Source organism: Homo sapiens, chromosome 19 (genome assembly GCF_000001405.40).
Source record: "Homo sapiens chromosome 19, GRCh38.p14 Primary Assembly".
Classification (NCBI taxonomy): Eukaryota; Metazoa; Chordata; class Mammalia; order Primates; family Hominidae; genus Homo; species Homo sapiens.
The window spans coordinates 6,092,406-6,119,504 of record NC_000019.10 but is presented as its reverse complement, the minus strand read 5'-3'; the positions used below and the strand labels follow the sequence as shown (position 1 = coordinate 6,119,504).

The 27,099-nt window shown below is 46.5% G+C and overlaps 1 protein-coding gene across 7 annotated transcripts in view, besides 3 other annotated features; it reads left to right on the top strand.

Moving 5' to 3' along the window:
• Nucleotides 8,684-9,143: a silencer, noted in NCBI's record as "silent region_9944". NCBI's record gives its function as "represses an Ori minimal core promoter by ATAC-STARR-seq in GM12878 lymphoblastoid cells {active_cell/tissue: GM12878}" and the evidence as "EXISTENCE:reporter gene assay evidence [ECO:0000049][PMID:35858748]".
• The window catches only part of RFX2 (regulatory factor X2), a 117,337-nt gene continuing 99,242 nt past the window's right edge, over nucleotides 9,005-27,099 (top strand). For all 7 annotated transcript variants that reach the window (XM_047439198.1, XM_017027107.2, NM_134433.3 and 4 more), the window contains exon 1: nucleotides 9,005-9,112. The gene's annotated coding sequence lies outside the window, so the exon portion shown is untranslated. The remainder of the gene's footprint in view (nucleotides 9,113-27,099) is intronic.
• Nucleotides 9,991-10,491: an enhancer, noted in NCBI's record as "H3K4me1 hESC enhancer chr19:6109025-6109525 (GRCh37/hg19 assembly coordinates)". NCBI's record gives its function as "activates a minimal SCP1, AML or CMV promoter by ChIP-STARR-seq in primed H9 embryonic stem cells {active_cell/tissue: H9 hESC(primed)}" and the evidence as "EXISTENCE:reporter gene assay evidence [ECO:0000049][PMID:30033119]".
• Nucleotides 26,228-26,933: an enhancer, noted in NCBI's record as "H3K4me1 hESC enhancer chr19:6092583-6093288 (GRCh37/hg19 assembly coordinates)". NCBI's record gives its function as "activates a minimal SCP1, AML or CMV promoter by ChIP-STARR-seq in naive H9 embryonic stem cells {active_cell/tissue: H9 hESC(naive)}" and the evidence as "EXISTENCE:reporter gene assay evidence [ECO:0000049][PMID:30033119]".

Here is a 27,099-nt window from a genome sequence, read left to right as displayed (position 1 = left end):
GTCTCAAAAGAGAAAGAAGGGAAGAGGAGAGGAGAGGAGAAGAGAGGAGAGGAATGGAGAGGAGAGGAGAGGGAGGGAGGGAGGAAGGAAGGAAGGAAGAAGGAATGGAGGGAAGGAGGGAGGGAGGGAAAGGAGGGAGGGAGGGAAAGAAGGGAGGGAGGGAAGGAAGGAAAGAAGGGAGGGAAGGAGGGAGGGAGGAAGGGAGGGAGGAAAGAAAGGGAAAGGAAGGGAAGGGAGGAAGGGAGGGAGGAAGTAAGGAAGGAAGGAAGGAAGGAAGGAAAGAAGAATAATTTTCCCAGTTGAGCCTTCAGATGAGCCTGCAGCCCCAGCTGACAGTTTGGCCACAATCTCCTGAGAGACATGGAGCCAGAACCACTCAGCTAAACTGCACCCAGATTCCTGACCCACAAAAACTATGTGAGATCATGAATGCTTGTTTTAAGCTACTGATCTTTGGGGTAATTTGTTACACAGCAGTAGATAGTGAATACATTCAGTTCCCTTATATGTAAATGGGACTAATAATGCAAAAATTATCATGAAGATAAAATGAGTTCTTATGGCAAAATGATGGAGAAACTATTAAGCACATAGTAAACAATAAATGTTTGTATATTGACTTTAAAGGGTAACAGATATAGATAGATATCTACTATAAGACATACACACACACACACACACACACACACACACACACTGTAGGTAGACATATACTTTATTTTATTTTTATTTTTATTTTTAATTTATTTTTATTTATTTTTTTGAGGCAAGGTCTTGCTCGTCACCCAGGTTGGAGTGCAGTGACGCCATCTTGGCTCACTGCAACCTCCACCTCCCAGGTTCAAGCAATCCTCCTGCCTCAGCCTCCCAAGTAGCTGGAGTACAGGCATGCACCACCATTTCTGGGGTAATTTTTGTATTTTTTAGTAGAGACAGGGTTTCCCCATGTTGGCCAGGCTGATTTCAAACTCCTGGCCTGAAGTGATCCACCTGCCTTGGCCTCCCAAAGTGCTGGGATTACAGGCATGAACCACCATGCCTGGCTGGTAGATATACACTTTAAAGGTTACTACTTTAAAAGGTACTACTTTAAAGGGTACTCTTTTTAAATAAATATCTTTCTTTAAAAACACAAATAGGAGTGCACTGTGAACACTGTACTGCATTTACTTTTTTTGTTTAATAAGTAGATTGTAGCCATTCTCCTATACTGCTCGGATAGTTGCATCTTATTCTTTTTCATTGCTGCATAATATTTCATTGTTTAGCTGAATGCTGCTTTGGGTAATCAGTGCTTTATTGTAGGCTGTTTAGGGTGTTTCCAGGTTTTTGTCATCCACTTTTTCTCAATGCCTCATCTTAAATTATGTTTTTTACTCACAGACTATTTGAGGTGACAGAGACCCATCCTTGGAATCATTTGATGCTGGGGTTTCAAATCGGTGATTCTGGGCATGCAAACACTCTGTTGTGCCCCTTGCCTTCAAAACAGCTCCATTTTCACCTGTTTAACTCCAAACCCAGGTCTCTAGACACCTAACCCTCCTCACTAGCCTTCCATGGGAACTGAAGCTTTACCACAGCTTTATTATGGGGTGATGTGAGGCAAAGAATTCATTTCACAGCCAAAAATTTGGGAATACACCTAGGTAATTTCCTTTTTCTTTCTTTTGTTCTTTCTTTCTTTCCTTCCTTCCTTCCTTCCTTTTTCTTTTCTTTCTTCCCTTCCTCCTCCCTCCCTCCTTCCCTTCCTTTCCCCCTCTCTTCCCTTCTTCCCCCTTTCTCTTTCTCTCTCTCTTTTTCTCTCTCCCTTCCTTTCTTTCCTCTTCCTTCCTTCCTTCCTTCCTTTCTTTTTTTTTCCTTCATTGACAGAGCCTCTGTTGCCCAGGCTAGAATACAGTAGTGAAATCACAGCTCACTGTAGCCTCATATTCATGAGCTCAGTCCTCCTGCCTCAGCCTCCCAAGTAGCTGGGACTACAGATGTGTGCAACCATGCCTGGCTAATATTTTAAATTTTTTTTTAGAAATGGAGGTCTCACTTTGTTGCCCAGGCTGGTCTCAAGCTCCTGGCCTCAAGTGATCCTCCCACTTTGGCCTCCCAAAGTGCTGGAATTACAGTCGTGAGCCACTGCGCCCGGCCTAGATCACATTTTGTTTATTTGTTCCTCCATGGATGGACACTGGAGTTGTGTGCATTTTCTGGCTTTATGAGCTAATGCTGCTAGGAATATTCATGTAGAAGTTTTTGTGAAGACCTAAGTTTTCACTTCCTGTGGGCAGACACCTAGGAGTGGAATTGCTGGATCCCATGGGAATTCCACTTTTTACATTTTGGGGAACTGCAACTTTGAGTTTTAGAAGTGGGAAAGTCCCAAGGAAACCAGGATGAGTTGGCCATCCTGAAAATGATTCCTCCTTGGTGTCACTTGCCCTTGGGCCTTAGGTAAGAGGAGCAAGGGAGTCAGGTGTTGCCTTGTGCACACCCCTTTCCCTCTACCACTGCCTGGTTATCCACTCCTGTGGCTTCTTCTGCTGCAGACTTCAGCTCTGCTATTTCCTCTCCAAGCTGTGCCCAACAAGGTCCTCCAACATGGTTCAAGTGGCTACTTTAAGGAGGCAAAGCTTTGTCTCTGGAATGAACTGGACCAGAGTCCACTAGGAGAAAATATCAGCCTTACCTCCATTCATTCAAGAATTAAGCTTCATCTGTCTCCTCGCTGTCTGCCCTGGGTGTCCTATGTCAACAGGAATGTGGCACTTCAGCAATTTCTCTTTTCTTTTCTTATTAAGAGACAGGGTCTCTCTCTGTCACCCAGGCTGGAGTACAGTGGCGTGATCATAGCTCACTGCAGCCTCCATCTCCTGGCCTCAAGCGATCCTCCTGCCTCAGCCCCCCAAGTAGCTGGGACCACAGGCACATGCCACCACGCCCTGCTAAGTTTTTAAAATTAATTTTTGTAGAGATGAGATCTCACTGTGTTGGCCAGGTTGGTCTCAAACTCCTGACCTCAGGTGATCCACCTGCCTCAGCCTCCCCAATTGCTGGGATTACAGGTGTGAGCCACTGTGCCTGGCCCTTAATGTATTTTCTAATTTCCCTCATGATTTCTTCTTTGAGATTGAAGAGTTTTACACATTTTGGTTAGTTAAGAAATATATAAATACTATAGTAAATATGCCACATTGCCATGAAAAAGGGCTGAAGTTTGCTTGAGGAAGTTGCTATTGAAGGATTGCAGCTTGTGAGTTATTGTGAAAAGGTAGAAAAGTCATCTGTAATCAGATGGAAAGTTGTAATGCTAGGCATAGATAAATGTGGCTCATAATTCACAGGAAGCTGAGGTGGCTGGTAGATATTTCAGATGTGTGCTTATGCATATTTTGTGCAGTCCTACACGATTTGGTCCAGACAGGTGCAGTTTTCTATTTACCTAGTGTTTCTTGCAGACAAAATTGTGCATAAGGAAGGCAAAATCCACATTGTGCTCAAATTGTTTCCTATTATATCCACCACTTTGGGACTAACTGACATTTCAAAGACAAGCATTCTAGCAGAACGGAGTGTACAAACCAGCTACAAGGCACCTCCTGTCACACCCTAAAACGTTATCCTTCACTCCCCACATCTAGTCCACTAGAGTGTTCTTCCAAATGTACCCTCAGTCCACCCACTCATGTCCGCCTCCACTACCAGGTCCCTAAACCAAGCCACCATACTTTCCCACCCAGGAGAACTGGGACAGACTCCTAGGATCTCTCTCTGTCCCTTTTGTCTCCTACAATCTATTCCCCATGAGGTGGCTCAACTGAGCTTTCATTTTTATTTTTATTTTCATTTCTGTTTTTTGAGATGGTGTCTCTCTCTGTTGCCCAGTCTGGGGTGCAGTGGTGCGATCTTGGCTCACTGCAACCTCTACCTCCCAGATTCAAGCTACTCTCCTGCCTCAGTCTCCAGAGTAGCTGGGACTACAGGTGCCTGCCATCATACCCAGCTCATTTTTGGGTTTTTAATAGAGACCGGGTTTCACCATGTTGGCCAGGCTGACCTCAAGTAATCCACCCCTCTAGGCCTCCCAAAGTGCTGGGATTACAGGCATGAGCCACTGGGCCTGGCCTCAACTGAGCTTTTAAAATTATAGTTTAGGCTATGCATGGTGGCTCATCCCTGTAGCCCCAGTACTCTGGGATGCCAAGGAAGGAGGATCACTTGACATCAGGAGATCAAGACCCTGTCTCTACAAAAAAAAAAAAAATTCTTGTATTTAGCCAGCCTTGGTGGCACATGCCTATAGTCCTAGCTACTTGGGTGGCTGAGGTGGGAGAATCCCTTGAACCCAAGAGTCTGAGGGTGCAGTGAGCTGTGATCGTGTCACTTCACTCCACCCTGGGCGATAGAGTAAGAGTCTTTTTTTTTTTTGAGACGGAGTCTCACTTTGTCGCCCAGGCTGGAGTGCAGTGGCACCGATCTCGGCTCACTGCAAGCTCCGCCTCCCGGGTTCACGCCATTCTCCTGCCTCAGCCTCCCGAGTATCTGGGACTACAGGCGCCCACCACCACACCCGGCTAATTTTTTGTATTTTTAGTAGAGACGGGGTTTCACCGTGTTAGCCAGGATGGTCTCGATCCCCTGACCTCGTGATCCGCCCACCTCGGCCTCCCAAAGTGCTGGGATGACAGGCGTGAGCCACCGCGCCCGGCAAGAGTCTCTTAAAAAAATAATTAATTGACAAAATAAAATAAAATCACAGATCGGGTGACATTCCACCCACTCCCCACCCCACCTGTCCCCGCACACACCCCTGCTTAAAACCCTCCATGGGGGCCGGGCAAGGTGGCTTACGCCTGTAATCCCAGCACTTTGGGAGGCCAAGGGGGCCGGATCACTTGAAGTCAAGAGTTTGAGACCAGCCTGACCAACATGGTGAAACCCCATGTCTACTAAAAATACAAAAATTAGCTGGGCATGGTGGCGTGCACCTGTAATCCCAGCTACTCGGGAGGCTGAGGCAAGAGAATCGCTTGAATCCAGGAGGCGAAGGTTGTAGTGAGGTGAGATCGTGCCACTGCACTCCAGCCTGGGTGACAGGCGACTCCATCATAAAAAAAAAAACAAATTAAAAAAGAAAATGCTTTGGAATTAGATATAGGTGGTGGTTGTACAACATAGTGAATGTACTAAATGCCACTGAACTGTTTCCTTTTAAAATGGCTCATTTTATGGTATGTAAATGTCACCTTAATTTACAAAAATGTGCCGCACAAAAGCAGGACTCTAAGAATTTGCCACCTGTTGGCTTGTCTTTTGCTACTCTGTGCTTGTCTTTTGAGATAACTGGGGCCACAGTTTCCGCCTCTGGCCAGGGCTGGGAGCGGGAAGAGGTCTAGCTTAGCTAAACGGGTTGACCAGCAGTTCCAGGACAGGCGGTCACCTTACTCCCCGAGGCTACAACTTGAGATCGCACCACTGCACTCCAGCGTGGGCCTGGGCGATACAGCAAGACTCCAGCTCAAAAACAAACAACAACAACAACAACAAAAGACACCCTCCATTGGTTTCCCAGTCTGATCGTGACTTCTTCCCTACGGCCTCCAATAAAATGATGGCCATCATATCATCCCCTGACTCACTCACCCCACCCACTCACTGCTCTTCCCCTTTCATTGGCTCCAGCTGTGCCCAAGGACCTGCTTTCTGTTTCTTCCACATCAGCTTTCACCCCAGGGATTTCGAATTCCAAACTATTTTCCTTTGTTCCTCGTTACTCCAACGTTGCCTCAAATGTCAGCTCCTTAGAGAGACCCAGGGTGACCAACTCTTCCCGCTTTGGGGATTTCCCGGTTTTAGCACTGAAATTCCCATATCCTGGGAAACCCCTTAGTCTTGGGCCAAGCAGGATTGTTGGATATCCCAGGGAGATCATCTCTGGCTGCTCTATCTAAGGTAAGCCCCACCCACCCACTTCTCCCACCAAGCCACTACTGTATCACTTTTCCTATGGCCATGGGAATTTTATCTATTTTATTTACACCTGTGTCCCTAGCACCTAGCAAATAGTAGGCGCTATCTATCTATCTATCTATCTATCTATCTATCTACCTATCTATCTATCATCATATACTATATATATACACACATATATGTGTGTGTATATATGTGTGTGTATATATATAAATGTATATATATATATATTAGAGACAGGTTCTTGCTCTGTCTACCAAGCTGGAGTTCAGAGGCACAGTCATAGCTCACCACAGCCTAGAACTCCTGGGCTCAAGCGATCCTCCCACCTCAGCCTCCTGAGCAGCTGGGACTATAGGTGTGCACCACTGCGCCTGGCTAATTTATTTTATTTTTATAGAGATAAGGTCTCACTATGTTGCCCAGGCTGGTCTTGAACCCCTGGCCTCAGACGATCCTCCTGCTGAGTCACTGCACTTGGACCTCAATAAATATTTTTGACTAAATTAATAATTGAATGAAAGGGACTGATTACTGTAGACCACTTGAGCTTAAGAATCTGTCACATGGCCAGGCGCAGTGGCTCCTGCCTGTAATCCCAGGACTTTGGGAGGCTGAGGCGGGTGGATCACTTGAGATCAGGAGTTTGAGACCAGCCTGGCCAACACGGTGAAACCCCGTCTCTACTAAAAATACAAAAATTAGCCAGGCGTGGTGGCGCGTGCCTGTAACGCCAGCTACTCGGGAGACTGAAACAGGAGAATCACTTGAACTCGGGAGGCGGAGGTTGCAGTGAGCCGAGATCATGCCACTGCACTCCAGCCTGGGCGACAGAGACTCTGTCTCAAGAAAAAAAAAAAAATTAGAAGATGATGAAATCAATTTAGCAAATCACCGTCAACATTTTAATTAAAATGAAACAGAACAGGAAATATCAGAGTGCGTTAAAGTATCATTTCACGGTACTTTAGTTACAGTATCATTTGTTTTAGTTATAGATATGTTTGTGTGGACTGAGCCCCTAGGTAAAATGTATTTCCTGCTGTATGCTGTGGTCAAAAATGTTTGAAAACCACCCATCTAGTGATCAAGAGCATGGACTTTGGCACTAGACTACTAGGGTTCCGATCCCTCACAAGCTGTTTGACACTGGGCAAATTCACTCATTCTTTCTGGGCCTCAGCTTCCTGATCTGAAAAATGGGGAAAGGCCGGGCATGGTGGCTCATGCCTGTAATCCTAGCACTTTGAGAGTCCAAGGCGGGCGGATCACTTGAGGTCAGGAGTTCCAGGCCAGCCTGGCCAACATGGTGAAACCCCGTCTCTACTAAAAATACAAAAATTAGCTGAGCGTGGTGGCGGGCGCCTGTAGTCCCAGCTACTTGAGAGGCTGAGGCAGGAGAATCACTTGAACCCGGGAGACAGAGGTTGCAGTGAGCGAGCCAGATCGCACCACTGCACTCCAGTCTGGGTGACAGAGAGAGACTCTGTCTCAAAAAAAAAAAAAGAAAAAACAAAACAAATAAAAACGGGGATAATGCCTAGCATCTTTCTAAAGATGCGATTGTAAGATTTAATGAGTTTGCATATTTAAAAAATGCTTAGATCACTTTCAGGCACATAGCAATTTAATCAGTGCTCACTAATATGATTTCTTGTTGAATGAATGAGTGGGGCTGAAGCCTAATCTCCTGCCTTTTCTCAGTACAAGTTGTTTTCTCCTATTCTTCCAGCCCCTTGTCTCGAATAACTATATGTTTACCTCTTTATTCTGTTTGCTGTCAATGTTCCCTCACTAGAATAAAAGTTCTATGAGGATCTGTCTGTTTCTGTCCTACTCGTAGCTGAATCTACCAGCTTGAGAGGAGGGCTGGTGAGTTTGGCAAACATTTTCTGTAAAGGACCGTATAGTAAATATCTTAGGCTTCGCGTGGGACATGCCGTCTTTGCGCAACTACTCCACTCCGCCCCTGTAGTGTCAAAGCAGCCTTCCAAGCTGTTCAAGGAAATGGGCGTGGCTATGTTCCAATAAAGCTTTATTTACAAACCCAAGCAGGCAGAATTTGACCCGCAGGCCGCAGTTTGCCAATCTTTAAACTAGTTCAAAATACTGGGCCCAATACAATAAAAGAGAGTCTCCTATCAGGTTCACACCCCACAAAAGCTCCTTTTGATAGTTTCTTTTTTTTTCTTTCTTTCTTTTTTTTTTTTTTGAGACGGAGTCTCGCTCTGTCGCCCAGGCTGGAGTGCAGTGGTGCGATCTCGGCTCACTGCAAGCTCCGCCTCCCAGGTTCGCACCATTCTCCTGCCTCAGCCTCCCAAGTAGCTGGGACTACAGGCGCCTGCCACCACGCCCGGCTAATTTTTTGTATTTTTAGTAGAGACGGGGTTTCACCGTGTTAGTCAGGATGGTCTCGATCTCCTGACTCCGTGATCCACCCGCCTTAGCCTCCCAAAGTGCTGGGATTACAGGCGTGAGCCACCGCGCCCGGCCGATAGTTTCTTTTAACCATGTAAAAAATATATATATATTTAAATTTTCAGCTGGGGGTCCGTGAAAAACAGGCGGCGAGCGAGAGTTTGCTGACCCCTGATCAGACTGTTCCCACATGTCCCACACTCCTCCTGTGGGGTAAACGGAGTCCCTTGGGTCCCCTAAAACTGGACTTTCCCAAAACGCGCCACCAACCCACGGCGCCGCGCGCGCGACCGGTTCGCCAACCCTCTGAGCCGCGCGCGCCTCCCGCCAAGACCCGCCCCTCTTCGCGGCCATTGGCCGAGTCTCGCACTCTTTTTCAAGGGGGAACGCCTCCTCCTTCCGACAGACTCTGCAGACAGCCAATGGAACGCCGTAGGGTCTCGCGCCCCGCCCTCTTGGGGGCCCGTTGGAGGCGAGCGTGGGCGGGCCGTTAGGAAGGTGGGGCGCGGAGCCTGGTAACCGTTGCCGGTAACAACGCCCCGCCCCGTCGGGCGGGCGGGCTGCGCGAGGCTGGCTGGCGGCGGGAGCCGGAGGAGGAGCGGCCGCCGCCGCCACCGCCGCCGCCATAGAGACTGTAGCCGTGGAGACTGTTACTTACCAACGGGGACCAACACGCAGCAGCCGCTGCCGCCGCCGCGGGAGCCGCTGCCCGAACTCCCGGCCCGAACTCCAGGTGACCGATGCGACCGCCCCGGGCCCAGCCCGGCCGGGGAGTGTGGGGGGCGGCGGGGACCCCGTTCGGGGGCCGGGGGGCGGGCAGCACGTCCCCGCCGCTCACCCCAAACGTCCGGGTGGTGCGCCCGCGGGACCCGCCTCCGCCACCCCGTCCGCGCGCGCGGCGGAGTTTGGGGGGACCCTGGCGACGTCCCCACTTTCCTTATTGACTGAACGCGGGGGAGGTGCGGTGCCGTCGCCTCACTTTTTACAAAACTTCCTGAGGTTGGGGCGTCCGGGGACCCCTTTCTCACGCTTACCTTCAAACTCGCTGAGTTGGGGGCGCCCCGGGAACGTCTCTCAAACTCCTCAAACTCCCTGAATTGGGGGCGCTTGGGGACCCTCTTCTCACCTTAACCCCCTAGATCTCTGAGTTGGGGGCACCCAAGGACCCCTCTTTTACTCATACCCTCGAATTTTCTGAATTGGGGGCGCCAGGGGACCCTCTTCTCACGTTTACTCCCCAGATCTCTGAGTTGGGGGCACCCAGGGACCCTTCTTTTACTCAAACCCTCGAATTCTCTGAATTGGGGGCGCTTGGGGACCCTCTCCTCACTTTTACTCCCCAGATCTCTGAGATGGGGACACCCGGGGACCCCTCTTTTACTCATACCCTCAAACTCCCTGAATTGGGGCCACCTGGGGCCCTCTTCTTACTTTACTCCCCAAACCTCCGAAATTGGGGTGACCCCAGAGCCCTTCTGTCACTCTTAGTCGCAAACTTCTTGCATCGGGGGGACCTCGAAGACTCCCTTCTCATTTTTACCCCAAATTCCTAGATCTGACTTGTCCCGGGGACCCCCTTTTTAATGGACTCCCAGACATACTGAATTTGGGGGCACCCCTGGAACCTTTTTCTCATTCCTTAACTAAAAGCTGGTGCGTCTGCCCTGGGGAGAACCCCTCTTGCCCTTCTCACCTTTTCATCCCAAACTCCCCGAGCGAGCTTCCCCGGGAACTGTTTCTCACCTTTTTGCCCCAAATCCTCGCGTTCAGGTCGCCTCGGACACCCCCTCCCCTTCTCCCTGTGACCCCATATTCCTGAGTATAGGGGTTCGTGCGTCCGCCAGTCTTTCCACGTGCCCCCAAGATGCCCCTCCGCACGTCCGCAGCTCTCCTCTTAGGACTGATCTGGAAGGGAGAAAAGTTTCACCAACGCGAGTGAAACTTTTTTTTTTTTTCAATTTATTTATTTTGTTAAAGAACCTAAACTGCTCCAGGCATTTTCTCCGAGGTAGTGCGAGTGCGTGTGTGTGTTTGTGGATTTAAACTCCACCCCCTGCCCCCACCGCCCACCAGCGCGCTCGCGGGCGCACACACACACTCACACACACACACTCACTCACACCCCAAATGCTCATTTCTTTCTTTTTCCTCCCTCCGAGAAGCCTCCGCGCTCCCTCGCCACCAGCCTCCGGCTCCGTTCCTTTTGGTTTTCCTCGCTGCACCGCTGGGAAAGTTGGATTTCCCGATCCTAGTGGCTATTTCAAGGGCCCCCGAGGGCCCCAAGCGCCCGGGCCATTCTGGCGGCTGCCGGCGCGGTTCATCTTCCTATTTTAACCTCCTGGTTGTGCGGCAAGAATGGGGAGGGGAGAGGGCAAGATGGAGCTCGGGACCCAGGGCTGGCTGCCTTACCCCCGCCCCCCCAGGCTTCATTCCTACTTTGGGGTGTTGTTAGCATTGTGCCTCCCTGCAATTATTTTCCTGCTTTGTATCATAAATGACCAGCGCAGGCTTCGATGAGTTCTTTTCCCTCTCAGTCAGCTTCATCTCTGTATCAAACCTTGTACAAGCTTCATTCTCTGTTTCAACTAAGAGTTCCCCAACAAAGTAACAGTAATAATAATAATGACACAAAACAACAAAGACTTTTTAAAAAAATTTTTGCCTGTACATATTGTTGACATGTATTTTATCTTTTTACATCGTGCCCTGAAACATTGTTTGCTTATGGAAAGATCCTTACCTCCCGTCCTTCTGGATAAGGAGGAGGGGGGCATCTGTGCTTTCTCCTGCTCTAGTTTAAAGACTTGAACTGACTCTAAAATAACCTTAGAAACGACAACTCACCTACTCTGACCAGAGAAGTAAGAGTTTATGGTAACCTCCCTAGGAAAAGAATTTAAGTTCTTGAATTACTAGGGCTTCTTCATCAACAGGCGTGGTACGGAAGGCAACTTATAATGTATGATGGGAAAGATCACTGTTCTGTGATTCTGTGACAGTTCAACGGACTTGGGTTGGGAATGAGTTCTGAAATAGTTTGCTCCTGCAGGAAAAGCAATACTGAAATATTTTAGTTTTTTAAGTTCTTTCTTATAAACCACTGAATCTGAGAAGAGAGAGACAGTTATTACCTCAATAACAGGACAAGTTCTTTGAAATCACTTGATCTTTGCTTTCTGCGTGAAGGGCACGCATTACCTTAATGTATGTGTGATGTATATTTAAATACAACAATATAATATAATGTGTATGTGATGTATATTTAAATGTAAATACTCATCTTTTAACATTGTTTATCATTGAAGTACTGCTAAGGATGGTTCTGTCCACCAGAAATGCAGGTGCTGGGGAATTGTTTATCTGGGTCTTATTCCTTAGATCTAATTGTTTAGTTTTACATTAGCATTATAATTAATAAAAATATTAAATTGGCTTAACTTTAATATTATAATCGAGTCAAAATTTTAAATGCACCTGTGGATTTTTTTTTTTTTTTTTTTTTTTTTTTTGAGACAGGGTCTCACTCTGTCACCCAGACTGGAGTGCAGTGGCAAGATCTCAGCTCACCTTAACATGCACCTCCCAGGCTCAAGGGATTCACCTGTCTCAGCCTCCTGAATAGCTGGGATTACAGGCATGCACCCCCACACCCGGCTAATTTTTGTATTTTTAGTAGGGATGGGGTTTCACTATGTTGGCCAGGCTAGTCTCAAACTCTTGACCTCAAATGATCCAACCGCCTTGGCCTCCCAAAGTGCTGGGATTACAGGCGTAAGCCACCAAACCCGGCCCCTGCACCTGTGGATTTTTGTTTGTTTGTTTGTTTGTTTGAGACAGAGTCTTGCTCTGTCTCCCAGGCTGGAGTGCAGTGGCACCATCTCGGCTCACTGCAAGCTCCACCCCCGAGGTTTACACCATTCTCCTGCCTCAGCCTCCCGAATAGCTGGGACTACAGGCGCCTGCCACCACGCCCGGCTAATTTTTCGTATTTTTTAGTAGAGACGGGGTTTCACTGTGTTAGCCAGGATGGTCTCGATCTCCTGACCATGTGATCCGCCCACCTTGGCCTCCCAAAGTGCTGGGATTATAGGCGTGAGCCACCGCGCCCGGCCGGCACCTGTGGATTTTTATAGTAGCTAGTGATTGTTTTGCTCATAAAATGCTGGGGCCAGAAGGAACCACATCTTATAATATATATTTGTTTCTAAAGTTGACATCTATTTATTAAATATTTAAATATTTTTAAAATATATATTGAAATATTAAAACATGTATATATAATATATACTTATATATTTAAATATAATAAAATTTAAATATAAATATATGTTAAATATAAAACAAATATATTTAAATATTTACAAACATTTAAACAGTATACCCCCATAGGTACCCACTTACTTGTAAAATAGGAAACTTTTGAAAAACCAAGGGAAGTTCTCATCTTGCTTGTCAGGACACTCACTAAACTGCAGGGGAGGAGAATGCGAGTCTGTGGGCCTGTCTCTGAAACTATGGGTCCAGGGCATTCCCACTAAACACAGCCGTATTTCTGAACTGAACTATATGAATATTCACCCGAAGTGGGGAAGAGAAGGACCATAAGTAACTTCATGTCAATTCAGGCCAGCTTTTGTCACCAAGTGAGTCCATGCCAAATTTACAAAAAAATTGCCAGTTTTCAGAGTTTCCTGGATTTCAGTATTGTTGTAAGGGGTTGTGGGCTTATGTATTTTTTAAAAAGATGTTTTGACTCCGTCTCTAGAATTTAAATGGCAATTAGCTCCTCTGCTGGTCATGTTCTCATGTTCTCTCATGTAGACATATGCCTGGTGTAGTGAAAGGTCTTATTTTGTTGGATGGATGGATGGATGGATGGATGGATGGATGGATGGGCAGGCCGATGGAATATACACTGGGAATTAGAGAAAAAACTGAAAACCACCTACTTGCTTCTTGGAAACTCTAAGATCAGCAAAAGGATTCTCCCAGGAAAAAAAATATAGGGGAAGACCCAGAATGAAGTGGGCGAAAGGGATAAGGGTAGGTGAAGGAGGAGTGGCAAAAGGTCCAGAGAGAGGCCCTAACAGGCCTATAGGGAACTGGAGCCTGGGAAGCTCTGGACTGGCTTAGGATTCTAAGCTCTTCTCTGCAGAAAACATCTATCCAGCTGCCTGCTGGGTACATCCAGGTGGATTCTGACAGGCACCTTAAACTTAAGGTGGCCAAGCTGAGCCTGTCATAGTCCCCCCAGATCTACTCCTCCCAAAGCACCCCCCAAACTCGTTGGTACATATCAACTCACTTCTTCCCATTACTCAGGCCAAACCTCAGGACTGTCCTTGACTCCTCTCTCCCAAGCCATCAGCAAATCCTGTTGACTCCACCTTCAGTAGTTCCCCAGAACCTGACCATGCCTCGCCACCTCCACTGCCAGCCCCTCTGGTCCCAGCCACCAGCATCTAGCCCGGATGATTCCACCACTGGTGCTCGGCAGTCTCTCAGCCCAGCAGCCAGACGGGGCCTGTTAACCCTGGGAGAGGCGGCGTCATGTTAAGTTCTACTTCATACCCCTCAGCTCGAAACCCTCCGATGGCTCCCATCTCATCTGCAGCAAAAGCCAAAGTCACCCCTAACTCCACTCCCCGCCAAGCCTAATACCTCTTTGACCTCATCGCCAAGCTAGATGCCTTCCCTCACTGCACTTCCACCCTGCTGGCCTCTGGAAGCTCATTCCAGCTCTGCCTGGAAAGCTCTTTGCCCAGGTATTTGGAGGGCTGGCTCTCCGACTTTCTTCAGGCCTTTTCTCAGATGTCACCAGGCCACCCACTTGAGAATGGGTGCTCTCAGCCTCCTTCCCTGCTTTCTCTGTCTCCTTAGCATTTATTCCTATATAACACACCATAAGTTATACGTATTTATTGTATTATCACTGTCCTCTTGTTAGAATGTCAGCTCAGTAAGGGCAGGAACTTCTGTTTTATTAACTTCTTTTTTTTTTTTTTTTGTGAGACGGAGTCTCACTCTGTCACCAGGCTGGAGTGTAGTGGTGCAATCTCGGCTCACTGCAACCTCTGACACCCAGGTTCAAGCAATTTTTCTGCCTCAGCCTCCTGAGTAGCTGGGATTACAGGCACGTGCCACAACGCTCAGCTAATTGTTGTATTTTTAGTAGAGACAGGGTTTCACCATGCTGGCCAAGATGGTCTCGATCTCCTGACCTCATGATCTGCCCACCTCGGCCTCCCAAAGTGCTGGGATTACAGGCATGAGCTGTTTTATTAACTTCTATATCCCCAGGGCTGAGAAGAATTTTGGTGCTGAGTAGGCAATTGAGAAATATTTGTGAAATGAATAAACAAATGGTTTCCTTGACACTTATGGGGAAAGCATATGTAGAAATGAAGAGTTGAGAGCTGCATTGGGTGTGGTGGCTCACACCTGCAATCTCAGCTACCTGGGAGGCTAGGGCAGGAGGATCGCTTGAACCCAGGAGTTTGAGACCAGCCTGGGCAACATAGCGACACCCTGCCCTTAAAAATTTTTTTTTTTTTTTTGAGATGGAGTCTCACTCTGTTGCCCAGGCTGGAGTGCAGTGGCACCATCTCAGCTCACTGCAAGCTCCACCTCCCAGGTTCAGGCCATTCTCCTGCCTCAGCCTCCCGAGTAGCTGGGACTACAGGCATCCACCACCACAACTGGCTAATTTTTTGTATTTTTAGTAGAGACGGGGTTTCACCGTGTTAGCCAGGATGGTCTCGATCTCCTGACCTCATGATCCGCCCACCTCAGCCTCCCAAAGTGCTGGGATTACAGGCGTGAACCACCGCACCCGGCCAAAAAAATTTTTTTTAAATTAAGAATTGCTCATAGGTACCTTAAGTTCATATTGCCATCTCTGAGTCAGTAGAGCCCAAATTGGATGAATCTGGATGAATGGGGCAGGGGAAAGAGGAAAGGAAAAGTTGCAGGTCATAGTGCTGGGTGTTGCAGACCAGGGCTTTGGGGCACAGCAGAGAAGGAGTTAAATTGTGGTGCCACCGTTTATTAGCTTAGTGGCTCTGGGGCAAGGTTTGACATCTGTGAAATCGATAATAATAGCTCGTGTGGTTGCTATATTAGAAATAATTTCTATAAGCTATTTAGCACAGGGGCTGGCATCTAATAGGTGCTCAGAAAAAAGTAACTGTTGTTATTATTATTATTATTAGGATGAAGCAAATAAGTAGTAAGTGGCCTGGGATGATCAGTTTTTTACTGTGGTTTCCTGACCAGGACCAAATGCTAAGGAGGCGTTTAGTACATACATCTTGCTTGACTGAGTGGTCGGCCTCATGCTGTCTGTTTTAGGGTAGGAAATTCCCTTAAATTAACCTAGAAACTCATGGGTACTAATATGTCCCTCTGCAAACATAAGTGCTTCGTAAGAACAAAAACAGCACGAAAAGTTGTTGGAGTCCTACATCTTGGTTGTGGCATGGGTCCCTCTGAAATGACTCCCCAAACATCACATTTATGATGAGTTTTGGGGAGTGGCCAGCTCTACAGATGAGAACATTTTAAGACTGGTTTCCCTTCTCTGTTATCACTGGCTCTTGGATGCCAACACAGTCAGAGTCTGGAAATGAGCCACTTGGAGCCGGGGACTGGCCTGGTCTTCGTGCCAGGACTTGAGTTGGGCCCTTAGGAGCAGACGGCCTGGCCTTGCTGCACCTCAGTTGTTTTTTCCTGAAAGTGCATTCCTGTTTTATGATACATAGGTCTTGCATGTTTGAAAACCCTGTTGTATGCCCTGGCAATTCCTTATTCTTATTTTTAATGTTTGTGAATTCCATGACTTTCTAAAAAGTACAGTTGACTTGCCACTGCCTGTAGATGATACATAAAGCAGATAGATTTTAAATGCTGTCAGTCCATTTACACCTGCTACAGTCCATGTTTCAAAGTGGAGAAAAAGCTGAAAAGCCATTAAAAATATGTAGAACTTACATGTAATGGTCCAATATAGTGATTATTTGTCATTTATTACATAATGAAGCCCAGATGTGCTATATATGGTAAGCCTATTTCTACTAAGATCTCTGCAGTTTTTTTGGACGTGTGTGCATGTGTTTGTGTATATGTCTGAGACTGGGGGATGGGTAATTCATAATAAAAAACGAGATGAAGTCTCGCTCTCTTGTCCAGGCTGGAGTGCAGCCTCAAACTCCTGGGCTCAAGCAATCCTCCTGCCTCAGCCTCTCAAGTAGCTGAGATTATAGATGTGAGCCACTGTGCCTGGCCATAAGAGGCTTCTTGTATTTGAACTTGGCTGAAAAATTGAACAGTAGAGACAAAAAAGCAAGGCCGTGTGATGCGGACTGGGCTCCTGGCGTCCAGCAGTTTTTAAGGAGGTGACAGTTGAGCTGAGACTGAAATGAGGAGAGGGAACCAGCGCTGTGGGGTTCAGAAGGAAGAGCCTTCCAGGAAGGGGGCAGCAGGTACAAAGGTCCTGCAGTTGTGTGGCTGATGCCTGGCGAGCAAAGCAAGGAGAGGCAGAAGAGGCAGGGGCAACCTGCAGGGCCTTGGAGGCCATGGGCAAAGTTTGGATGCTATTCGAAGTATAAACTGGATCATTGGTAGAGTTCACATCAGCCGGTACCTGTCAGATCAAAGGTGTCCAGTCATTTACCGGAAGACCTGCTTTTCAGACTCCTGACATTTGTTCATCATTCATTCATACAATCTTCATTCATTCATCCTTCATTCATTTATTCATTGCCTATTTTGAGTAAAGTGCTATCCTATCCAGTTACAAAGACCAAAGACCAACAAGGAAGAGGAGTCAGTATCAAATAGGCTTTGCTAGATGTTTCTACAGGGCACAGAGGGCAGACAAAGTGGGGAGGCCAGCTGTCCCTGGAGCTGAGGAAAGGTCTGAAAAGAGGATGTGGATCTGAACTGCATCTTGAGAATAGTGTTCTGCAGGCAGCAGATGGGGGAGAGGGGTGTGGCCATGTTTTCAGGACTGGGCGGCCCATGTTTTCATGTCCCCGTGAATGTGATGACTATACACTATATAAGTGGAATCATAGAGTATTTGTGTTTCCGTGACTGGATTATTTCACTTAGCACAATGTCTTCAAGGCTTATCCATGCTGTAGCATGCATCAGAATTTCCTTCCTTTTTAAGGCTAAAGAATATTCCATTGCATGGATATGCCACATTGTGTTTCCCCATTCATCCATGGATGAACACTTGGGTGGTTTCCACCTTACAGCTATTGTGAACCATGCTAAGCAGAGATCTCAAAGGGACTCTTAGGTAGAGGGAGAACCTGGACAGAGGCTCAAAAGGCAAAGGAGGAAATAACTTCAAGAACTGAGCACCATGAAGAGTGAGATCCAATGGCAACCAGAAAGATTAGACTTGCCCAAGTCCCATGTGAAAAAGGATTGGGTCCCCACAGAAAGGCAGAAGGCTTGACTCATGAACGCCTGTCTCCTGGAAAACTGTTGAAATTATACCAATGATATAGAAGTCCATTCCTAAAGCTGCAACAGCACTTAATTATACTTTTTTAAAAATGCAAACTGTTTATCTTTTAGAAACTGTGCCATGTTTCCAAGGATACATTTCTGTCCAAAAGGTGATCTGTGGGGAAAGGCCTTAGAAGCAGTTTCCAAAAAAATTACCAGCCCACAAAAATGTATGCGGGCTCCACCCAGGCCAGTGGAAACCCAAAGAAAATAACACGAAGGCCTTTTTCCCACCTCTCCTGTCCTTCTCAGAATACATACAGACAGATGTAGCCTGCCTTGAGAAAAAATATATTTGGAATTCCAGACCCACTGAAAACAGACTAAAAGATGTGCTTCTGATTTTAAAAGGAATTATTCGTTTTCTTGAAGAATTCACCCTACTAGGGACTTCAGTGAGGAGCTCTCTGGGGTCTCCATCCATTTCTTTAGAAAATATTTGTGGGCCTGAAATATCAAACATCTGAGGAGCTTATAATTAGTTAAGCATTTACGTGTATTAATATATCGTCATGTGGACAGTTGAGAGGGGAGAAGGCACTAGACAAATTTAAAATTGTTAGAAACCATTGGCAACTGATATTCAGAGCCTAAGTTAAAAGCAGGATATGTCTCAGGAGCAAATCTTTTGTGTAAATCCTGGTATTTTTACTGCAGACCTTTAAAATGACAGACGCGGGTGAGTAAAAATTACTTCTGGAAATGGATATGATTAATTAATTCAATTAATTAATTCAATTAAATCAATATAATTCAATTAATTAATTCAATTAAATCAATATAATTCAATTAATTGCCAGCCTTGGTTCACACTGATGAGTGTGCTCATTGGAGAGACTCAGCATGCAAAAGAAAAGACTCATCAATTTGCAGTTATTTAATTTCACGAACTGCCGGATGGTGGAGTCAGTAGCAGCGGCTGGGCCGCAACATGGCGCCTCCCACCTAGACTTCCGGTCAGGAAACTTCCACCTTCCTCCGATTTACGTGGGCCTGCATGAGCCTACTTCTCTTCTTATTCTAGTGCCAGTGGCCTCTGGAGTCTTGGTCCTTCTTACTGGAAGTAGCCCTCCTCTCCTGTTACAGAGGCAATAATTCTCCAGCCTTCCGGTCGCCGCCAAAGCCTCCTGCCTAATCACTTCCTGTATTGTCTCCCTGCGGCTCTTTGCACAGACCTTGGGCTCTGTCGTCTCTGGATTCTTACTGATCTCTTCCTCTTCTCCCAACCGCCTTGTCATGTCTCTTTGAGCTATGTCAGGAGGAACGGAAGGGCACTTTCTTACTACTTTTGTTAGCCAAACGGACAAACTGTCCCCTCCCCTTTGTTGTAACCACACATTCAAGGCTTCCTTCAGTCCAGCCCCATCTCCCTTTTCGTTGCCTCCCTTTCACTACTCCAAATGAGCTTGCCATACTTTAAACGGGTCTTGTACTTTCTTATCCCTTCTCTGGAATGTCATTTCTACTGAAGAAAATCCTACTCTTCCCTCAAGACCCTTCTTTAATCCCCTCTTGCCATGGAAACTTGAGATTTTCATTGAGGAGCTAAGTTGGAAAATATAAACTAGAGCTGAGTCTCTACCCTGGCACTATTGACATTTGGGGCCAGATTATTCTTGGTTGGGGAGACTGTTCTGTGCACTGTAGGATGTGGAGCAGCCTCCCAGGCCTCTACCTGCCAAAAGCACACTCCCCTTTCCCCAAGTGGTGACAACCAACTGTTTCCAGACATTGCCAGATGTCCTGAGGTGGGAGTGAGGGTGAACAGAATTGCCTCCCAGCTGGGGGCTGCTGGACTAATCAACAAGAAGTGGCAAGGACTGCAGGCAAATTGCCTCAGCACTTAGATTTAGCACTGCAAGGCCACTTCGACAGGTGGTAGTGATTTGTGCGTCTCATTTCCTATTCTTGATTGTGACAAGGTTCTGGAGGATGGAGACAGCTACCCCTGCCACAGTTCCCACAGGCTATGTTGTACATAGGGCTTCATATTTAACATGTGAGTGAATGAAACACATGAGCCCGAGTGCTCTTCAGGACGGCAAGGCCTACATCAAGATGGTAAACCTTCAGTTCTTAAAAAAAAAAAAATCACGCAGCCCGTGCCTGAGATCCAATAACCTTCAAACTCCATGTTTTCGATTTGATCTCAATTAACATTCCAGCTCTTTCAATATGTACTTTTCCTTTACCAAATTTCAAAAGAAATTTTAATCAAAGACCCCTACTGTTAATTAATTTCCCTTTTTACCCAGCCAAAATTGCAAATGAAGTTCTTTTTCCAGAAAGTTCGGGGAGCGGGGAGGGGTTTTATAACAGAGCTGCTGCTGAGTCTCATTGCTAGGAGCTGAGTACACAGTGGAGAATATGAAATCCCGAATTCTATGTCCCAGCCCATTGCAGTGGCTTGATTTGTCTCTTGTTTTGCTTTGGAACTTTTCAAAGATTTCACTCTGTTAAAAAGTCAATTTGGAACAAATATAGAGCTGTTATGTCTATTAGAATTGTTTCAGCAACGAAATGTGGCACTCAGCATTTGTTGAACCAATGAATTCTCCTTTTTGCTCTGAGGGAAAGCAAGGTTATAGGGCAAGTTGTATTTTAACCCTTAGCTTTTTTTTTTTTTTTTTTTTTTTTTTTTGTGGTTCAAGCAGTTTGTGAAAGATTTGAAAGCTGCATACATTTGGGGTCACCCCAAAAAGTCAGCCCTGGGCCACGAGCAGTGGCAGAGGAAGCAGTTACAGAGAATTAACAGAGTTACATAAAATTTACTCACTTTGTAGGCAAATATTTCTAACCTTGGCTCCCTTTCTTAAAGATCTATTTCCCCAGCTTTGTTCCCCAGCTCAAAAGCATTTCCCAACACGTGGATCTGCTACCACTGGATCTGCCAAAGCAGAATCCTCTTTTTTTTTTCCAGTTCTTTTTTAGGCCTTCCCAGTAGGCTGAGGAGAAAGTCTCTCGTGGGTGTTAAGGTATCTTTAACCCCTCTATAACACTCCTGACCTCTCACGTTTAACGAAGAACAGACTTCAAAACTTGAGAGCTGAGTGTTAAAGAAAAATAGTAAATGGTAGTATTGGTGGTCCTGGAATGTGCTAAAACCACCAAAGAGACACTGACTCAAGATCATTGCCCAGGTGGCTCTGACGAACTTGGACGAAAACGCATCTCACTGAAGTCTCTATCTTGCGGCCTCTTTACAGGTGTTATTATCAGCCAAGCACCCACTGCGCTGTCTCGGTGCAGGGAGAGCCCCCATTTCTCAAGTTCCCGCAATGTAGCCCCACATTTCTAGTTAGACCAGTAACAGTTCTCATCAGGAGGAGAGGTCGTTTTTAATGCAAGTCAAAATATAAACCACTGAGGCTGGGATAAACTTCAGGGGTAGCAAAGTTCTTTTATTGTTTCCAAATAGACACTCTGGAATAAATTATACATTTAGTTGTCTGGTTACAAAGCTCATAGATAAAATCATGTATGACGTCATTTATCGAGTCATTCACCTTCTCTGATCTATATAAGAATGTTCAATGCTGTGTGATAACATTTTTGATTCTTGTATAAGAAAAGAAGAAAGAGGGTTTTTCAAGAACAGCAGAGAGTGTTACGTTGGCCACAGAATCAAGCAAATGGGCAAAAAAAGCAGCCCTCAGTAAGGAGTAGCCAGACTTTAAAAGTAGTGCCTGTTAGATCACCAAGGTTATGTTTTAAAAATAAAGGGAACCTGGCACAGTGGCTCATGCCTGTAATCCCAACACTTTGGGAGGCTGAGGTAGGAGGATAGCTTGAGGCCAGGAATTCAAGACCAGCCTGGGCAACATAACAAGACTCTGTCTCCACACACAAAAAATTAATTAGCTGGGCCTGGTGGTGCACACTTGTAGTCCCAGCTACTCAGGAGGCTGAGGTGGAAGGATTACTTGAGCCCACGAGTTACTTGAGCCGTGTTTGCACCACTGCACTCCAGCCTGGGTGAGAGGGTGAGACCTGTCTCTAAAATAATAATAATAATTAATAATAATAAAGGGTTGCCATGATGTTACCCATGGGTACATACTATGTGCCTGGTGTATTACATGTATTACTTCTAATCCTTGTAAAAGCCCGGTGGAATTGGAATGATGATCACGCCCTCAGAAGGGTAAAGATATCTTAATGCATGTCTCAGTCCTTTGGGCAGGTAGCTGAGGAATCTTTCCTGCCGCTAAACTCCATGCAATTTGCCTTTCTCCTTAGTTGCTTCCCCTCTTTGTTGCTTCAGAAAGGGTTGGGCCCAGGGTCTAGGAAGAAAGGCAAGGCCCAAGTGAAAGAGAGATGTGTGGGTCCCAGCCTGGGCACCCTGCTCTTGCCAGAAACCCGAGTAGCCTGGACCGCTCGTTCTTCCTCCCCAGGGTCTAGTCCAAGGCTGTAGATGGAGCTGTCTCCTCTGTTGCCCAGTGTTGAAGGCTAGGGGTCATCTCATCCTCTCCCCACTCTGCTTCACCCCCACTAACCCACTGCCCTCTTTTCTACTCACTACTTCCTATAGGTCCCACCACCCAAACTGGTCTTGTATTGATTCTTCCCTTTCTGTTTCTGATTATACTGTTCCAGTTCAGACCCTCTCATGCAGGACTGTTAAAGTAAACTTCCGATTTCTTCCCTTAGATGAAGGGTATGGTGCTGGTCCTCTTGTTCTGTGTTCTTCCAAATCTGGTGCTTCCAGCTGCCCTCAACAATGGCCTTAAGATGGTGGGGGACCCTGGGAGGGGGAGACCACATGATATGGTGGAACATCATGGAATACCAGGAGTGCGTTGAATTAAATCATGTGAACTCATATTTTATTAATGCAACATGATTAAATTATAAGAAACGAGGCCAGGTGCAGTGCCTTACGCCTGTAATCCCAGCACTTTGGGAGGCCAAGGTGGGCGGATCACGAGGTCAGGAGATCGAGACCATCCTGGCTAACATGGTGAAACCCCGTCTCTACTAAAAATATAAAAAATTAGTCGGGCATGGTGGTGGGCGCCTGTAGTCCCAGCTACTCGGGAGGCTGAGGCAGGAGAATGGCATGAACCCGGGGGGCGGAGCTTGCAGTGAGCCGAGATCGCGCCACTGCACTCCAGCCTGGGAGACAGAGCAAGACTCCATCTCAAAACAAAACAAAACAAAACAAAACAAAACAAAAAACAAAAACGAGAGTGTGCGCAGTATCAACTATGAGCATACATTCTTTAAAACTGCTGTTGATTGGGTGAGACAGACTGGTACAGGGCTTCCCAATAATGTGAAACCTGCAGGGTATCACATTAGTTTTTGTTTTGTTGTTGGCTACTCTTCATTAGCAAATAAGAGGAAATATCTACCAAGGGTTTAAGAAATATTGGTAGGGAAAATGTTTTAAATTCGAGGAACCTATTCAATAAATATTTCTGCAGATTGGCGCAAGTGCCATTATTTTATTTGAGCAGTGCCTTTATTTTATTTGAGCAAAGGAAGCCCACAGGATGTTTTAGTATTCCAAGGAAGTGGGGATCAGCAAACATTCTCTATAAAGGGCTAGATAGTAAATGTTTTAGCTTTTGAGGCCCAGATGGTCACTATCTCAACTACTCAGCTCTCCCGATGGAGCTTGAAAGCAGATGTAGACAACATGTGAGAGCTTGGGCCTGGCCGTGTGCCAATCAAACTTTATTTATGGATGCTGAAATGTGAATTTCATGTAATTTTCATGCATCACAGAATATTTTGATTTTGATTTTTTTCTAACCACTTCAAAATGTAAAAGCCATTCTTAGCTCATGGGCCATACACAAACAGGCTAGCGGCTGGGCCAGATTTGGGTGGTGGGCGGTAGTTTCCTGACCTCTGCCCCTGTGGTGCAGTCCAGGGGCTCTGACTCGCATTCGTAGACTTTCTCCAAGTGGTCCATCCTATTTCCCCCTTTATTCCCCGAGCTCCACCCAGCTTGGTCTCTTGACCCCTTCCCTGCCCCACACACCCTCCCCTTGTTTACACCTCTGCCTGATTTTCCCTACCCCACCTCCAGCAGGGTCCAGGACGGGATGCTGCCCAGACTCCCCTGCCCCATTGTTTATGGTACCCTGTTCCATCTGGAGTCTGCACCTGTTACCTTTTGCCACGTAAGGAATTATCTGTGTATGTCTCCTTTTCTTTCTCACCCCATCCATGCAAAACCCTTGAGGATAGAGGCCATGTCTAACTGTATTTGTGGGACACCAAATAGAGTAATTATTTGTCAAAATTACATGAGTTCTTACTAGATAGAGATCACATCTACATCTAAAAATCATTTTGCTTACTTTCTAGTAAAATAGAATCTCTTAAAATATTTGTGAATTCTTAAACTTATCCTGAGATGATTTATTCTAAGTGTCTTCTAGATCATTACCGGCCAATAAAGAAACATAACACAAGCCACGTGTGAAATTTGCAATTTTCTAGTAGCCGCATTTTATTTATTTGTTTTTATTTATTTATTTATTTGAGATGGAGTCTTGCTCTGTCGCCCAGGCTGGAGTGCGGTGGCGCGATCTCGGCTCACTGCAAGCTCTGCCTCCTGGGTTCACACCATTCTCCTGCCTCAGCCTCCCGAGTAACTGGGACCATGCCTGGCTAATTTTTTGTATTTTTAGTAGAGACGGGGTTTCACCATGTTAGCCAGGATGGTCTCAATCTCCTGACCTCGTGATCCACCCGCCTCAGCCTCCCAAAGGGCTAGGATTACAGGCATGAGCCACTGCACCTGGCCTAGTAGCTGCATTTTAAAAAGTAAAAAGAGACAAGTGAAAGTAATTTAATAATACATTTCATCCAATGAACTGTATTGAAAATATTCATTTCAATATATAACCTATATGAAAAATTATTGTCGAGATATTTCACATTCTTTTTTGTGTGCTAAGTCTTAGAAATGTTAGTTCGGACCAGCCCCATTTCAGGTGCTCAGCAGCCACGTGTGGCCCTGGCTTCTATACCGACTGCACAGGTAAAGGTGTTAAAGTCAAAGCAGGCACAAGTTTTAAGTCAACTCTTCCTTTTAAAAGGTGACCACTATATTGGCTACTTACTGGCGTGCAGATACTTCATAGCCGTGAAAACATAAGGTCACTGACAAAGTCTGAGTAGCGTGGGTCCACCTGACCTCAGCGTTGTCCATTTTCTAAAGTGATCATCACTGGACTTTGAAACACAGGTGGTGCCCTCCAAGCCACCTGAGTGATCTGTCCCCAGAATTCCCTAGTGACCATTTCAGGACTTTGGGATCCTGTGTGTAGTCCCCATAATTCTGACTGCTTCTCTTTTACATTATAAAAGTCTTACGTTTTCATCATTAAAAAAAAATCCAAATTGTAAAAAAGAAAAAAAGAGCCTCTGGCTGCTTCTTCCTCTCTCCTCTGCCCCTCCCACCACTAAGAAAAGTTTGGTGTGGATGGTTTCAGATATTTCACAGGCCTGTAAAACATACATACGAATTCTTTAGTGTTTTTTGCATTGGGATGTAATTCACATGCCGCAGAATTCAGGCTCTTAATGTGTACAATTTAGTGGCTTTCAGTATATTCACAAGGTTATGCAACCATCACCACCATCTAATTCCAGAGTCATCACCCCAAAAAGACACCCTGTCCCCATTAAGCAGTCACTCCCCACCTCCCTTCCCCAGCCCCTGGCAGCCACTAAGCCACTTTCTGTCTTTGTGGATTTGCCTGTTCTGGAAACTTCATGAAAATGGAATCATATAGTAAGTAGCCTTTTGTGACTGGCTGTTTTTAGCATGATGTTCTCAAGGTTCATCCACCTTGTACCACGTGTTGGTGCTTCATTCCTTTTCATGGCTGGACTAATAGGGTTTTTTTGTGTGTTTTTTTTTTCTTCTTCAAAAAAGAGATCTTATTTTTCTCACTTTTCTGCCACCTGCTCTTTTACCTAATATTTAGCCTGTATCTTTCCTTATCACTTTCTACTGTGTTTGTGCTTCATTCTTTCTACTAATGGTCTGATATTCCACTCCTGTCCTAAGTACTTACTTAGCCTTTTATTCTATTTTATTTTATTTTTTTGAGACAGAGTCTTGCTCTGTCGCCCAGGCTGGAGTGCAGTGGCACAATCCCGGCTCACTGCAACCTCTGCCTCCCGGGTTCAAGCAATTCTCGTGCCTCAGCCTCCAGAGTAGCTGGGATTACAGGCATGTGCCACCACGCCCGGCAAATTTTTTGTATTTTAGTAGAGACGGGGTTTCACCATGTTGGCCAGGCTGGCCTCGAACTCCTGAGCTCAGGCAATCTGCCCCACTCAACCTCTCAAAGTGCTAGGACTGCAGGCATGAACCACCGCACCCGGCCTTAGTTATTTATTTATAGGCATTTTGGTTATACCTTCCACTTTACCGCCAATGCTGCAGTAAGCACCCGTGTCCAAATATATTTGTGTACACGTGTGAGATGTTTGCCCACTCGCGGCAGGGAAATTGCTGAGCCTGATGGACTTCCTCCCCTTGGCGTTAGCTTGCCGCCACTTACATCTGCGCTCCATTCCTACTATAAAGGTGACTTTCCACTTTTGTCCTCTCCTGAAACTACGCCGCCTCCAGCAGGACCGGGGCCACCTCCTCGCCTCCCCGACACCACAGGGCCTTTTTTTTACCACATGCGTGTCCGTTGCCCTAAGTCCCCGTCCCACTCCTTGCCTCTCAGGCCAACACAAACTCTTTAGCTTCTTAACATTTCAGAGTAGCAGGTCCCGGACCCTTTGACAGCCTCGTGAAAACTTGTGTCCCCACCCTCCAGGAGAATGCACACTGAACTCACCCACAGTGTTCTGTGGGCCACTTAGGAGGTGCTCAAACCCCCTGGCAGCCTCTCCCTCCCCCGGCCCCTCCTCTGGAACGTGTTCCCTGTCAGCTTAGCTCTGCCTATCCTACAGTCCACGTGTGACTGACTCAGCCTCATTCTGTCACCGTGAGCTGCGCCCATGCTCGCGTGTGCCTCTTGGGGAGGCCTGGCTGCTGGGCTGGTTTGCGCAGCCACAAGCTCATGCTTGTCGCCCTTGACTCCTGCGCGGACTCGAGCCTAGCAACGGCCTGCCCCGCCCCTCTGAATTCCCTCTGGACGCGTGGCTGTAAACTCTGCTACCTTTATTCTCCAGCAGAGCACTCGTTCTTCTGCCTTCTCAGCGGAAGACCTTCCTTCC